Here is a 14542-nt window from a genome sequence, read left to right as displayed (position 1 = left end):
TACCACATTCTCCAACATGTAAGAAATACTAATTTCAAATTCTGAAAAGTAGGTAATAAGGTCATTATTAGTCTGTCTCTAGGAAATGGGTCCCACGCAGTAAATAACAGATTTTCCAACACTGGGACGATTTAAGCCATGAGTCAGGGGTCCCTCCTGAGCAGGCCTGACCTCTCCCTTGATTCTGCCCACTACTTTGACCTCATTCAAACCAAAACTCCACGTGTCACAGTCAGCAGGCTTGGTGACCCCTATATGGGTTCCTCCCCCCACCATTTCCAGGGAGCCAAGGAGAAATCCTGCACCCTGAGACAGGAAACTGATTTTGATCAGAAATTACAAAGGAAGAGGAAAACATCATATCTAGAAAAATTTCAGAGTCACCCACAGGTGGCAGGTGAGAGTCCAGGTGTGGGGTGGGTGGTGACCAGGTGTACACGGTATGGAACATCCCTAAAGACTTGGCCTTGCCCATGAGGGTGATGTTGGCTGCAAATCAGAATGCCTGGGTTCTAGCTCTGACTGTCCCTGGCATAACTGTGGGCAAACTAAATGGTTTGGGCTGATGTTATTTAAACTTTATCCTGCACCAGAACCACCTAGAAGGTTTGTCACAACATAGATAAATGCCCTCCCCTCCTGCCCCTGGAATTCAGTCCACTTCTGTGTTCTGTTCAACCTATACCCCAATTGTTTAACATTTGAATATGTCACAAAAAGTTAAGATTTAGAAGATTTTACTTCTTTAAAAAAAAAAAAAAGTCTAGGGCTTCCCTTGAAAAGGAAGTCGATGGCACTACACAAGGCCTGCCCAGCGACAGCTGACTAGGGCAGTGCTGCCTAAAGAGTCTTCCACAAAGATGGGATGCTCTGTGCTGTCCAGCAGGTAGGCAGTGGCCTGAGTGGCTGCTGAACCCTTGAAGCACCTCAGGTGGGACTCTGGGAAACACCCTGTGGAGCAGACTCAGCCCTAAATACCCAGAAAACCAAGGGAACAGCCCTAATTTTCCCCCAGCCATAAGATAACTAGTCCTCCGCCCTCCCCACTCCCCCATGGGTTTAAATAGGCTGTGAAGGAATCACCCACGTTTTCTAAAAGGCTCTGTGAGACCCACATGCTCGGTGAATCCATTACAAGCCACTTGCCTGAAGGTGGCCCTGAGCAGTCCCATCCAGACCTTTGATTAGAAGGTTAGGCCCATCTGACAATGGAGGGTATCTGGGTAGGGGCTGGCAGTGGCTAGGTTCACACAGGAAGGGGCACCAGCTGCCTTGCCTCTGGAGGAGGAGTCTTCTGTGGCCAGGAGGACGGCAAGGGGCAGTGGCAGCTCTCCAAGGTGGCTGAGGGCCAAGAGAGCACAGTGGCTCAGGGTGTGGGCTCTGGAGACAGATGCTATGGGCTCGAATGACTCACTGGCTACTTTGCCTCTTGTGGCCAATGAATAAGGGGAGGGTCACCTGGGCAAGCACAGGGCTTGCAGGGACTCCAGCATGACACAGATGCACTCAGAGCCTGGCCTGGCCTTGCTGGAAGAGATGCGAGCCCCAGCGCTGGAGAGTGCTGGCATGTGCCCCTGGGAGCAGGAGAGAATACATCCCCGCCAGGAAGCTCACCCACCACACATTTGCCATTGTGGCCAGTGAGCCTCCAAACAGAAGGTTAAACAAAAGGTGAAACTACATACTCAGCAAGGCCTTTGGGGTGACAGAACACAGAAATGCAGTTTTCTGGGACCTTTTGACACACAGTCTGGAAGTGTGTGTGGCTCTGATACATGCCTAAACAATGCCAACAACGACTGCATTGATACGGGATTTACAATACACACAGCCTTCCCCAGGGATGAGACTTGAAATGCTGAGTATTCACAATGCCGGTGGGCCCCAGGGTTGAGAGTGAGAGCACAAATAGGGGAGAAGCTTACCATCTCCTAGCTGTGTGACATCGGCCATGTGGCCTACCCTCTCTGTGCTTCAGACACTTCAGCTACAAAGAGGGCAAACAGTACCTACTCCCAGAATTGTGACGATAAAAGTAAGTAATGTAGTTAAGGTGCTCAGAGTAGCATCTGGACCATGGCAACCACCCAAGAAATGTTAGCTGCCACTGTCACAATGTCACCCCCATGAACATGAGGGTGCATTTTCCAGAGGGAGCATTTTGGAAAATACATCAGCCTTGCCTATATATTAGCAACATAAGAAACTCCAGGCTGGAAGCAGTGGCTCACGCCTGCAATCCCAACACATTGAGAGGCTGAGGTGGGAGGATCACTTGAGCCCAGGAATTCATGACCAGCCTGGGCAACATGGTGAAACCCCATCTCTACTAAAAATACAAAACATTTAGCTGGGCATGGTGGCACATGGCTGTAGTACCAGCTACTCGGGAGGCTGAGGTGAAAGAATCACCTGAGCCTGGGAAGTTGAGGCTGCAGTGAGCTGGGGTTGCACCAGTGCACTCCAGCCTGGGAAACAGAGTGAGGCACTGTTTTGAAAAAAGAAAAGAAATTCTAGTGGAGCAATGCTGAGAAAAATGAATAAGATGTGTGTACTAGAAGAAGAGAATGGAAAACAAAGACCAGGCCAGCTGGTTGTGATCTGAAAACCAATAGATTCACGTGGGTCGATAGAGAAGAGCGTTCCTGCCAAAGGAATCAATTGCTCACATGCACTGTTGATGGCAGGCTCCTTTTCCCAAGAAGAAAAGGTGCATCAGCCAATCCTGAGCCAGAAACCAGAGCACCCAGATCCAGAGAAAAGACTCTGGTGCCACAAATGACAATCCCTGCAGGAATTAAGGAAAATGATAACACCAGACAGAGCAGCCCCAAAAAATCAAACTTGTAAAGTAAGTTTCATTTAGAAACTCGCTTCATAGTGTGGTTCTCACTTTATTTATACTTGAGATGTTTCCAAAGCTTAGCTACCTTTTCTCCATTGACTACATGAAATTCGTTACACAAAAATGTAGTCTGCAAAAAATATACAAGTGTAAATAAATCAGTTCCCCTGCATTTCTATCAAGAATAGCAATTTTTGGCCGGGCGTGGTGGCTTGCACCTGTAATCCCAGCACTTTGGGAGGCTGAGGCGGGTGGATCACGAGGTCAGGAGTTCAAGACCAGCCTAGCCAAGATGGTTAAACCCTGTCTCTACTAAAAATACAAAAATTAGCTGAGCGTGGTGGTGGGCACCTGTAATCCCAGCTACTCGGGAGGCTGAGGTAGGAGAATGGCGTGAGCCCAAGAGGCAGAGCTTGCAGTGAGCCGAGATCATGCCACTGCACTCCAGCTTGGGTGACAGAGCAAAACTCCATCTCAAAAAAAAAAGCAATTTTTGAGTTGCTTTTTCATGTCAACTTTTTGCTACACACCAAAAGGTATTTAATATTGATCTCCTAATTTCTAAAACGCAAAGACTCCTTTGACACCTGGAATTCAAAAGAAGTCCTTATTGGCCCTCCAGTCCCCACCCAGACCTTCTCACCTTCCTGAGCCCTGTCCAAACAGGACTTTGTTTCCTTTCAGACCGATTATTCATCATGCAAGAAAAATAAATGGGCACATACTTTATCCAAGACACCATTCAGCAGTCTACAGATGCCAGTGATCAGGGGGCCACATCTTATTAGTCACTGACTTTCAGAGTCTGGAAGAGAACAAGTTCTCCAGAAGTGCCAAAGTGTGCACAGAATGATGGATGGACACAGAGAGATGCAGAAGGATCTATGCCCCTAGTCAGTGCCTGCCTCAACCTCTTGTCTCCAGCACACCCATTACCACACCCCCAGGCCTCTTCCTCCAGAAATGAATCAGGCACTAGTCCTCCCCTGCTAACTTGCTGACATCTGCTAGAGACAGAAGCCCAGCTCCATGCCCTTCCAAGCTTCACTCCTGTCCACTCCCTTCCTTGCCTCCCTCATCCCCCGGATCCCCACAGGGCCTTATTCTCCAGTCGCACCTAACTTCCCAGCACCCAGGACACTCTGCTGGGCCCTCTTATAGGAATGCTGTCCCTTCCCTCCTCCATTCAGCAAAGCACGGTCTATCCTTCAAGGCCAGACCAAGGTCTGCAGGGCGTTCCTACCCTGATGCATCAGGCAGCCCAAGGGGGAAGCCCTGTGGCCCCTTGCACCCTGGCCAGCCTCTGGGGCAGCACTTTCTGCACCTCATCTTTGTGCATCTTTCTCCCTGACCAGACCAGACAGGAGGCTCCAAAGGATAGGAGCCTCGTCTCTAGCACAGTGGGTTCCCTAGCATCCAGGCTGTGCTTGGGGCATCGTTTATGCTCAGTGAGTCAGTGGATGAGTGAGTGGGGAGATGGGGCGGTGGGTGAGCTGGTGAGTGATTTCGTGAACGGGTGAGCAAGTGAATACAGAGACAGACAAAGGGACCTGGGGGTGCCTCAAGCTTCTGCCTCCATTCAAAGACTTTCACCTCTGCTTGAGTCACCCAAAGCAAAGCCACGACTCTGCCCCTGGCTCCCTCCACTGGCGCCTCCCCTGTATTTCCCCTCTTCCAAAGCGGCTCTTTTGTCTCCATCAAGACCTCTGGATCCTTCCTCTTCTCTGATCTTCCTGATTCAAATATTGATCCTGGCTCCACGTTGCCTTGCTTGGCCCACCTCCTCCCTGGGCATTCGGCTCTGGCTATTCATGTCTTCATTCTAAATGACTCACTTAACTGAGTCTGAACTAATCCTACTTCATCACCCTGAGAAGCCCTTCCAAAGCCCGTCTTCTCCCTAGAGCTCCCCTCCCTGCCTTTGAGAGCAGGTGTCAGTCCACACACTCTTCCAACACCACTGCCCCAGATCTTCTCCCGCCCTCTGCCCCTCCTCTCCTGCCTCCAGCTATGGGACTTCCCACAGCAGTGCTTCTCCCATCCCATGCCTGGCTTGCCCCATGGCCCCTTCCTGACACTGCTGTCCCCAGGCCCCCACATCCTGCTGGCCACAAATGAGGCACACGGCACGCCACAGGCCTGGACGCTCCAGCAGTGGGCAAGCTGCCTGACCTCCCCGCCTTCCGAATCATTCTTCCTTTTGTGTTTTCTTCTGTCTTAAAATAGTATTTACCACTCTGGGGAGGAAATAAAAGTGTATTTTATTTTGTCATTGAAACAGAGCTTCACTGAGATACACCGAGAAATGCAATCTATTTTCTGTCTATCAAGAGGAGTAAATAAAGCTAAATAAACCTACCATGGTAGGTGTCAGCAGTTAAAAATAAGGCAAATCCTTTTAGTTTTGTAGGAAAAAAAAAACAAGTTGTAGGACAATGGATAGATTATGCTATCATTTACATGCAAAAATAAAAATGCAAATAAAACTACATATTTCTCTCCTTGCAAACACACACATAAATGCATGTAAATCGTCTGGAAACACACACATTAAATCCATGGCAGTGCTGGCCTCTGCAAGGGGCAGAGTGGAGGGGACAAGGTGGGCTCTGAGGTTTATAATAAGAATGTGCTCCATCTATCACTTGTAAAATTAAAAACAAAATTTAAAAATAGATATAATTATCCTGAAATATCACAAATGCTCCTTTCTTCAATACCCCTTAGGTTGGCTGCTTCTCATTGGCTTGAAATAAAAGGTGACTCATCACTCCTTCGAAACATCCTATTCTTCACAGAATTGAGACCCATGCATAGTTTCAGAATGTGAAATCAGGCCATAGTTCAAAGATCGAGAAATGCAAAGTTAAGGCAAAGTAAAAACGAAAGGGTTTGAGAGGCAGATCTGAGGAGGCAGCTCTCAGGGCTGGCTCCAGCCCAACCCCACCCTACGCACCTGCCGTGTGCTCCACTCCAACCCAGGGCAGCCAGGTGACAGGGACCCCAGGCAAAGGGGTCCATCTCTTCCTTCAACATTTGCAAGTGAAAACATGCAGTTGCACTTTTTGTAACAGGCAAACTTAGGCTTTTCGATATTGATACCTACATTTCCAGTTGGCATGCATTTTCACAGCAACTAGAAATTCTCCTGAAGGCCCTGATTTTTTAAGTCCTTTCAGAAGCATGGAAAAACGGAAATCATCCACCACACAGAAATACATAAGAAACTCAGCAGAGTTGGAAGGCAACGGCCTTCCTGTCACTTCCCATGCCCCAACTGTCCCGGGTCCCCACCTGCACATCAACCCACTTGCTAGAAAACCTGGGCCAACAGGTGCCTGATCACAGTGAGGCTGGCTGGCCAGGACGCTCCAGGGAGACAACAGCCTGACAGCCTGGATACGAGGCTGCTCAGGATGAAACCAGCAGCCCATATACCTCAGAGATCCAATGGGGTGAGCTGGATTATTCACAAGGCACAGGGCCAAAAAGTGGACTGTATTACAGTTAGTGAAAGCCTGGTTAATTCGACAGAGCCCCAAAAACACAGGCAAGGCTGAATCTTGGAGGCATATGTTAGCAATGCTCTCTCTTCTTGGGAGAGACCGTCATGGCTAAAATGAGGGAGCATTTGGTCTCCTTGGAAAGGCTATCGCCATGCAAGAATATAAGAGGTAAGATATAACATACAAGAAAGCTTATACGCCCTTAGCCAAGAGGCACTTCTGAATATCCCATAACTCAGCAAGTCTTAAAGAGCATTTGACCTCCCAAGAACATGTCTCCCAGGGTGGATCACTGGATGGTTGAGTTTCTGGTTGTAGAGAAACAAATGGCTTCGGGTTTCTGTGGGCTTGGTGAAGCCTGAGTCTACCCTTTGTGGATGGAGAGCCCCTGGTGTTCAGTTTTGAGAACTCCTCCCCTTCAAGGACCATGAGGACCTTTACTGAGTGTCTCCCATCAGCCCTGTTCCACATGCTCTACAGAACGTCATTCAGCAGAAAATGTTCCCTTTCCCATCTCCCACTATGGGAGATGCTCTGGGAAAGAACAGATTTGACCAAAGTCACCAACACAGTGAGTGACAGGAGTCAGAAAGGGCACTTGGGTCTTTGGCTCTCATGGCGCCTGCTGAAACGTTGATCATCTTTGGTGCAGAGTCAACAGGGTATATATACTCAGGGGCTCTTCTAAGCATAGTGTCACTTCTGTGCCTGAGTGAAGGGATCTGAGTGGCTTTAGCTTGTCCTCACTAGTGAAGAAGAAGCAGAAGAGGGAGGAAAAACAGAAATTGGAGAAGCTCTAGCCTAGGTGCACCCCCAGGGAAACACACCCACAAGTCACATGAGTTGTGAAACTAGCAGTAATGCCTGTATTTGCTTTGATTTCTATGCAAGAGGCTCAGCTGTCTGGTTCTTAAAGATTCCTCATGACAGTGAAATTAAAGGCAAAACGAAGGACCCAAATAATATATGCACCCTCCCCCCACAGAGAAACCACACTCACATAAAGTACATGGGCTGTGAATGAGAACTCTGGAGGCCATAAACCCCAGGTGCTCCTTAGGGCAGTCTGGCCCTAAGGAATGGAATGTGTCCCACCCATCTCAGAATCAGGGAACTTGGGTTTTAGTCCTGCCCTGTTACCAACCAGTTGGGGGGGGTGCTCAGGGAAATCACATAACCTTCAGGGCTTCTGTTTCTTCCTTATTTTTAATTTTTTTTCCTGAATATGGAAGCTATGCACATTCATTGTAGAAGAGGAGAAAACCCTGGAGTAAAATAAAGAAAATAATCATAGATATTTTCATCATCAAAAAACAATCACTGCTAATATTTTGGCAAATTTCGTTCCAGTCTTATTCTATGCATATTGCCTTCATATTTTGGAAAACAGAGCATATTGCACACGCAACCTGATGTGGAGCTTTTTAAAATTAACTCAACATTATATCATGAGCATCTCTCCATGTTATTAAAAACTCTACATGAGCAATACTTTCATGGTTATATAATATTCCATCATAAGAACACATCATAATGTAGCTAAGCCTCTCCCATTCTTGTGTTGTTTCCAATTTTGTATATTATGAATAATGGAGAGGAACATCTTTGTTGCATGAAATGTTTTCTGCATCTTGGGTTATTTTATTGGAATGGATTCTAAAGGTCCTTTTTATGTATTTACATTTCATTTTCTCTGAGAGAATTAGAGCAAATCAGAAATTTGCAAACTCAAACACCTACTCGGTTACTCAGGGAAATGAGTAGGCAGGCAAGGTATAAGAAAAATAAAAAACCTAGTGAATGTGGGTGCATTGAAGGTGGTAGCTGCTGCGGGGCCCTAGGTGGTGGTTGCCTGTGGGATAAGGGCCCCGGGTGCCGCTGGACTGCCCAGTTTTCCAAACAAGCTGGAAATCCAGGATTTCTAATATTGGCCACGGCCCCTTCACAGAGGGCAACTCTTTTCTGGGAGCCTTTGGGGTTTCACTCGGCCAGGAGGAGGGTCCTCACTGGGGTGCTGAGGGGGCTATGAGTGTCCAGGGGGTGATTCGCCGGGGCACACACAGAATTTAGCCATTTGCGCCAAATTTAAAACTCCGTTTTTCCTTCTTTTTGTATCCCTCTGGGCTTCCGCCCAACACATGCAAATGACCTTCTACCAACCTCTGCGTCTCAGCTAGAGCCCAGAAGGCAGCTAATCACAAATGCCCATTTCACAAGCAGCACCAAAGAGGCCCCCTTTTTGCTCTCTCTCTCTGTTTCTTTTTAATTTTTTTATTATTGTTTTAGAGACAAGAGCTTGCTAAGTTGCCCAGGCTGGTCTTGAACTCCTGTCTTTAAGCGATCCTCCTGCCTCAGCTTCCAAGCCCTCCTCTGCCTTGAGTCGCTGGGATTACAGGTGTGAACCACTGCACTCAGCTCCGTGCTCTCCCTCTTGATAACTCTGGCCCTGTAATCTCCAGAAATCAGGTGAAATCCTAATCAAATTAAACTCTAGTGTTCCAGGGTGCCAAGCTTCCAGGGAAGCACCAGCTTTCCCAATGTCGCATGTGGCTGAGACCTTCAGGTTGTCTGAGGCTTGGCTGTGGGGACTGGGAGGGACGAAGTGGCCCAGTGAGCAGGTGTATGCCAAAGCGTGAGGGTTCTCGGTTCGAAGGCCTCACTATTCTAAAAGGGCAGCATTGCAGCTATGTCAGCAACCACAGAAGTGCCTCCAGAACGGAGAGAGGAAAAAAGGTTCTGAGAGAGCAAATCCCCTTTCACAAAGCCCGTGGAGGTGCCTTTTATGCTTCCGCCATCTGTCATCACAAAATTCACAACAGCTCCCCCAGTCTCACGACACTACATGGACAATTCTGCGGGGGTCACCCGGAGCCGTTCAGAGGCTTTGACAGCAAAACAATGCTGGGCAAGGTGCAGCCCGGTGAGAAAATCCTGCTAAACAAACACAAGGGGTCAACAGCTCAGAGAGCAAGATCCACTGAAACCCACTAATTGGAAATAATTCCAAGTTTTTCAGACATTACGTAGTGACAATAAGGTGCAAACACCGGATTAGCGACCTCCAAAAGACAGAGAGCTTTTGTTCCATCTTTGTAGGAGCAGAATTTAACCCCGTGTTTTGAAATTCCCATCAACTACCCTGTGTGAATTTAAAGGTTCACCATTTAACAACATAGCCGGGGTTAGATTTTGAGTTTCTCCGTTCCAGGTCAAGAAGCAGAACCTATGTGAGGGGAAGTGGGGGGAATAGGACAAATAAAGCCCTGAAAGCAGCCAGGGAGCAGTGTTCATTCAGGCCTTCCCAGAGCTCAGTTAACTAAATGGGCACCTGAATTTTCTGTCCCACCGGGAAAAGCCATATGCATTTCCAGTGGTTTGGGTTTTTAGTACTGGTTGTCTGTAAGTCAGTCTTGTCAAGTGGTATTTGTCAAGATTTTGTTGTTTTGGTATTTTTTTTAATGATGTAGAATTTACATTGAGCTTTATAATCAAGCAAAAAGAAAGTCAGAGGTTTCTGAAAATGCCTGATGAGTGTGGAAACTGGTTTGATTTGGGAGTCAGGATTCTGTAAAAATCAATACTGAAATAAAACCGTTGTTATTGTTGATGTTGTTGTTGAGATAGGGTCTCACTCTGTTGCCCAGGCAGGAGTGCAGTGGCATGATCTCGACTCACTGCAACCTCCGCCTCCAGGGTTCAGGTGACTCTCGTGCCTCAGCTCTTCTCATGCCTCAGCCTCTCGAGTAGCTGGGATTACAGGCGTATGCCTTGTTACTCCTAGAAGCTCTTGTAGGATTTATTGTGGACTTCAGCTCAATAGAGTAACACTCGCTTCCAGCAGGACTCCGATCTGTGAGAACAGGGGAACCAGTGGATAACAGGGGGCCGTGTTAAACAACCAGCTCCCTCTGTGGTCCCCAGATGCAGATAAGCCCGGCTGCCACTTCCTGAGTGCTCTTCTACACATGTGCTTGACTTGCAGCAGATCACCTAGACATGAACTCGAGTCTCTCTCTCCAAAGCTCCTGGTCTCTGCACTGAAGATCTGGATAGAGTTCTGGCCAGAAAGGAAGGCTCTTGGGTACCCCAGGCACTCCATCTTCTGCACCAAGATTCATCGTGGTGAATTAAGTACACACACTGATCTTTTCCCGAAGACCAGTAAGCAAGTTGGGGACAGCAAGCAATGTCTCAGCCCAGGCCAGGCTCAGAGTGGCCACTCCGAAAAGGTCCAAATGACCAAGGTGATGCACAGACACCCCAGCCTCTTACTGCAGCTGCGGTGGAGCCTTTTCCTGGGTCTCTACACAGGATTAGAAAATGGCTATTCAAGGCTGGGCGCGGTGGCTCATGCCTGTAATCCTGTAATCCCAGCACTTTGGGAGGCCAAGGCGAATGGATCACTTGAGGTCGGGAGTTCAAGACCAGCCTGGCCAACATGGTGAAACCTCGTCTCTACTAAAAATACAAAAGTTAACCAGGTGTGGTGGCAGGTGCCTGTAGTCCCAGCTACTTGGGAGGCTGAGGCAGGAGAATTGCTTGATCCCAGGAGGTAGAGGTTGCAGTGAGCTGAGATGGCACCATTGCACTCCAGCCTGGGCAACAGAGCAAGACTCCACCTCAAAACAAAAACAAAAAGGCTATTTAGGCGACAACCCCACAGCACACACAAATGGAAATCTTATACTGGATAAAAGCACAAAATGTGAAACCAGTGCTGCAAAGTCACAGATAGGAAGCAGGAAGGGAAAGACAGGGTTGGGAGTAGGCAGGTTGTGAGAACCGGGCTGAGGTTACTGGGGCATCTCTGTGGCTGAAGAAGGGCAAGGAAATGGCTTTCCAAGGATTCTAGAAGCCGCCTCCTCTCTTCCCTCTTCGGTGAGTCTGAGGGATGCCTGGGGAGTCCTAGCATTGATCCCACAGGCCAGGAACTTGGTTGCCACCCTCAGATGCAAGGTGAGCATCACACTCCTTAGCCTGGGGTCCTGCTGGGGTGCCAAGCGCCTGGTGAGCAAAGACCCCTCAGCAAATAAGACCTTATGTCTGCCATCCAACCCTCTTGTTTGCAGAGCATCCTAAAATACGATTCCACAAGTTGGAAATGGAATCGGGTTTCACCACTGGCAAAGCCCCTCTCCATGCAGCCGGCTGCCGTCAACAGCAGCTGCATTTCCTCCGCCCTTCTCCCTAGGCACCCAGTTGGTTTTCCTCCTTCTCCTTCCTCCAGGTGTGCTCTTGCCAGAGCTTGCCCCAATAAGTCTCCCTTTCATAGTGTTCTGATGAATAGATTGTCTGTGTTTTCTTTTGCCTTCTTGTTAATGGCCTGAACTATCCTCCAGCAACCCAGCTGTGCATGTCAAATAAAATGTATTGGGGTCAGATGGATCCTCACATAGCACTGAAATGCACAGCACACGAAACAAAGCACATCTAGCCACCACTCGCACACTCTAGAAAGCTACGCTCAGAAGCAGCACAACTGCCACAAAAGCCACCCAGACTACACAGCGTCCGGTCAAATGGCATCTTTTCATATCATCAGTCCATTCTCTTTCTCTTTGTTTTGGATTTTTCAAATATGGTTATGCAAAAGGTTTCTGTTTTTAAACTCACTATGCAAATACTAACATTTTACAAAGCCCAGGCAGATAAAATCAGCTCAGGTTGAACGTATCCTAAACGCAGAGCTATAACTGATTCAACTTTGCAATTTGACCTTTAATTGTCATATAGAAATGGAGAAACGCATGTAGATGAGTGGCGAATTTTATTGTGTTATATACAAAGGTACCGCCTCGCACGAAGCATGCAAACTCTCTTCAAAGGATTAAATATTTCAAAACTGAAGGAAAATGAGAAGGCAGGCTTCCTGTTTGAGACACACAGAGGAAGAGGGGTCTTTTAAACCTGTAATAAAACAGGTGGGCTTAAGAAACTCAGAAAAAGGTGTAAGGAAATATACTCTGCCTGGCACCGTGATATTTTAAAGAAATAACATTTGTATTTTGTTCCATAACTAAATCGAATCAGCTAACGCCATAGGGAAAGTACATGTGTTTGCAACGCAGCCCAGAGTCAGCTTGTTACATCTGACTCTCTGTTCTGGTTACAAACATCTCTCTGTTCAGCCTGCTGGTGCATACAGACACTCTCACAGCTGAGGACAGATGTGGCTAGCAACGCCTTGTGAAGCAAATGTCAGGCAGCAGACTGCTACCACAGGCTCACACACCTGCAGGTGACATCACCGAGCTTTATCTTACCCCAGAAATCTATTAACATGCAGAAACAAGTGTCACCCAACCAAAACCCACTCTTAGAAAGCATTGGCCTCATCAGCGTGAGAAGGGAAATGACAAACGAGATGCGGAACTTCCACTCAGCTCCACGTCTGTCTCGGGGAGTAGGAAGGATCCCCTGTTCCCCACCCGGACTTCCCAGGACACCTGTTCTCTAACATCGAAAGGATGTCAGATGCAGCCAGAACAAACAAAAGCTTTGGAGAAAACTCCATTTCCTGGATATTGCCTTTTTCCTTTGTTTCAGGGAATTTTGTCTTTTGCAGCAAAAAGTAGCTAATACCAGTGAGTTTTCACTAATTTCTTGTCCCCGAAACAGATATCTTCTTTGGCTGTAACTAGGCAGATAGCAGGTACTCGATATATGTCCAGAGCACCTAAAAAATGATATATATCTGAGATGCACTTTAAGGTACCCTAGCCAGCATCCAGGCACAGTGGCTCACATCTGTAATCCCAGCACTTTGGGAGGCCGAGGTGGGTGGATTGCTTGAGGCCAGGAGTTCAAGACCAGCCTGGGCAACATGGCAAAATCCTGTCTCTACAAAAAATACAAAAATGAGCTGGGCGTGGTGGTACACGCCTATGCTTCCATCTGCTCGGGAGGCTGAGGTGAGAGGATGGCTTGAGCCTGGGAAGCAGAGGTTGCAGTGAGCCGAGATCAGGCCACCGAACTCCAGCCTGGGCAACAGAGCCAGGCCCTGTCTCAATCAATCAATCAATCAATTAATCAACAAAAACTATGTTAAAAATAAATAAATAAATAAAATACTCTAGCCAGAGATAAAAGGGAGGATAGGGTGAACTAAAACTGTCAAAATGTTGATAATTGTAGAAACTAAGAGACAAATAATAGGGAATCCACTATGCTACTCTCCCTCGTGTTTAAAATTTTCCATAATAAAAATATTTTTTAAACGTGTAGCAAGATTTCCAGTTGTTGGCCCAAACCCTCTTCCTCCCATCCTTGGTAATAAAGTCCTAAGTCTGCTCATGTAACCTACTCTTCTCTATGGAGCCACTAACTAACCCAATCACAGTCACCCCAATGCTTCTTGCCTTTGATGGCCTTAGGAATGGACGGATGGGTTTATCTGGCCAATGAGAGATGAAGGAAAGTCTCTTGAAGGGTTTCCGGAAAAAAAGTTTCCATGCTGCTAAAAAATGACATATGGGAAAACACGGGTCCCCCTTTTCTCAATCTTCTACATCTATATGTGAGAGCAAGAACCTCAGCAGCCATATTGTGACCATGAGTGAGTCGGTCAAAGACAAAACTGACATGTTGAGTTGCAGAGAAGAAAGATCAAAGCCACTCTGGTCCTTGAGGTGTCACGGAGCCCCTGAAATAACCACCCTGAAACTGCCCCACTTCAGGAATCATTAAGAGAGAAAACAATCCACTTCCTATCTAAAATAGTTAAGCCAGGGTCATAGCTAAAGGCATCCTACCTGATACGAAATAACTGTTTGATGAATGAAGAATGAATAAGACTCCAAAGCACAAAGAATTGTCAGAGAGTCTTAACAGCATCATCTGAGTCTTAGAAAAATCAATGTCCTTGGAATCCCATACAAGAGTTGGGATTTACATTGTATATTCTCTTTGCACACAGGGTCTTCTGGCTTTTACAGTAGGTCCCCCTTCTGTACCGGGGATACATTCCAAAACTCCACTAAATGTTTAAAACCAGGGAGAGTACTGAACCCCACTGCCAACCAGACATATTCCTGTCCATGTCTTCCACCCACAAATTTAATTTCCATCTTAATTAAGTGCTTATCACCCCTGTGGCTGTACCTTTTACAATTTGAGGTGTGACAGCAAAACTAGCACAAATTTCTTTTTCCTTCTTCACAATTTCACAGGTAGAAGACTCCTTCTTTCTGTA

The 14542-nt window shown here is 47.2% G+C and overlaps 1 protein-coding gene across 31 annotated transcripts in view, besides 4 other annotated features; it reads right to left on the bottom strand.

The window, feature by feature from the left end:
• Positions 1-14542, bottom strand: part of ACOXL (acyl-CoA oxidase like) — a 385976-nt gene that overhangs the window by 247447 nt on the left and 123987 nt on the right. The gene's annotated exons all lie outside the window — the stretch shown is intronic.
• Positions 1405-2015: an enhancer, noted in NCBI's record as "H3K27ac-H3K4me1 hESC enhancer chr2:111626664-111627274 (GRCh37/hg19 assembly coordinates)". NCBI's record gives its function as "activates a minimal SCP1, AML or CMV promoter by ChIP-STARR-seq in primed H9 embryonic stem cells {active_cell/tissue: H9 hESC(primed)}" and the evidence as "EXISTENCE:reporter gene assay evidence [ECO:0000049][PMID:30033119]".
• Positions 3500-4204: an enhancer, noted in NCBI's record as "H3K27ac-H3K4me1 hESC enhancer chr2:111624475-111625179 (GRCh37/hg19 assembly coordinates)". NCBI's record gives its function as "activates a minimal SCP1, AML or CMV promoter by ChIP-STARR-seq in primed H9 embryonic stem cells {active_cell/tissue: H9 hESC(primed)}" and the evidence as "EXISTENCE:reporter gene assay evidence [ECO:0000049][PMID:30033119]".
• Positions 4205-4910: an enhancer, noted in NCBI's record as "H3K27ac-H3K4me1 hESC enhancer chr2:111623769-111624474 (GRCh37/hg19 assembly coordinates)". NCBI's record gives its function as "activates a minimal SCP1, AML or CMV promoter by ChIP-STARR-seq in naive and primed H9 embryonic stem cells {active_cell/tissue: H9 hESC(naive and primed)}" and the evidence as "EXISTENCE:reporter gene assay evidence [ECO:0000049][PMID:30033119]".
• Positions 11331-11848: an enhancer, noted in NCBI's record as "H3K27ac-H3K4me1 hESC enhancer chr2:111616831-111617348 (GRCh37/hg19 assembly coordinates)". NCBI's record gives its function as "activates a minimal SCP1, AML or CMV promoter by ChIP-STARR-seq in naive H9 embryonic stem cells {active_cell/tissue: H9 hESC(naive)}" and the evidence as "EXISTENCE:reporter gene assay evidence [ECO:0000049][PMID:30033119]".

The sequence above is a fragment of the Homo sapiens genome, chromosome 2, assembly GCF_000001405.40.
Source record: "Homo sapiens chromosome 2, GRCh38.p14 Primary Assembly".
Taxonomy (NCBI): domain Eukaryota; kingdom Metazoa; phylum Chordata; class Mammalia; order Primates; family Hominidae; genus Homo; species Homo sapiens.
This window is presented reverse-complemented; position numbering and strand designations above follow the sequence as displayed.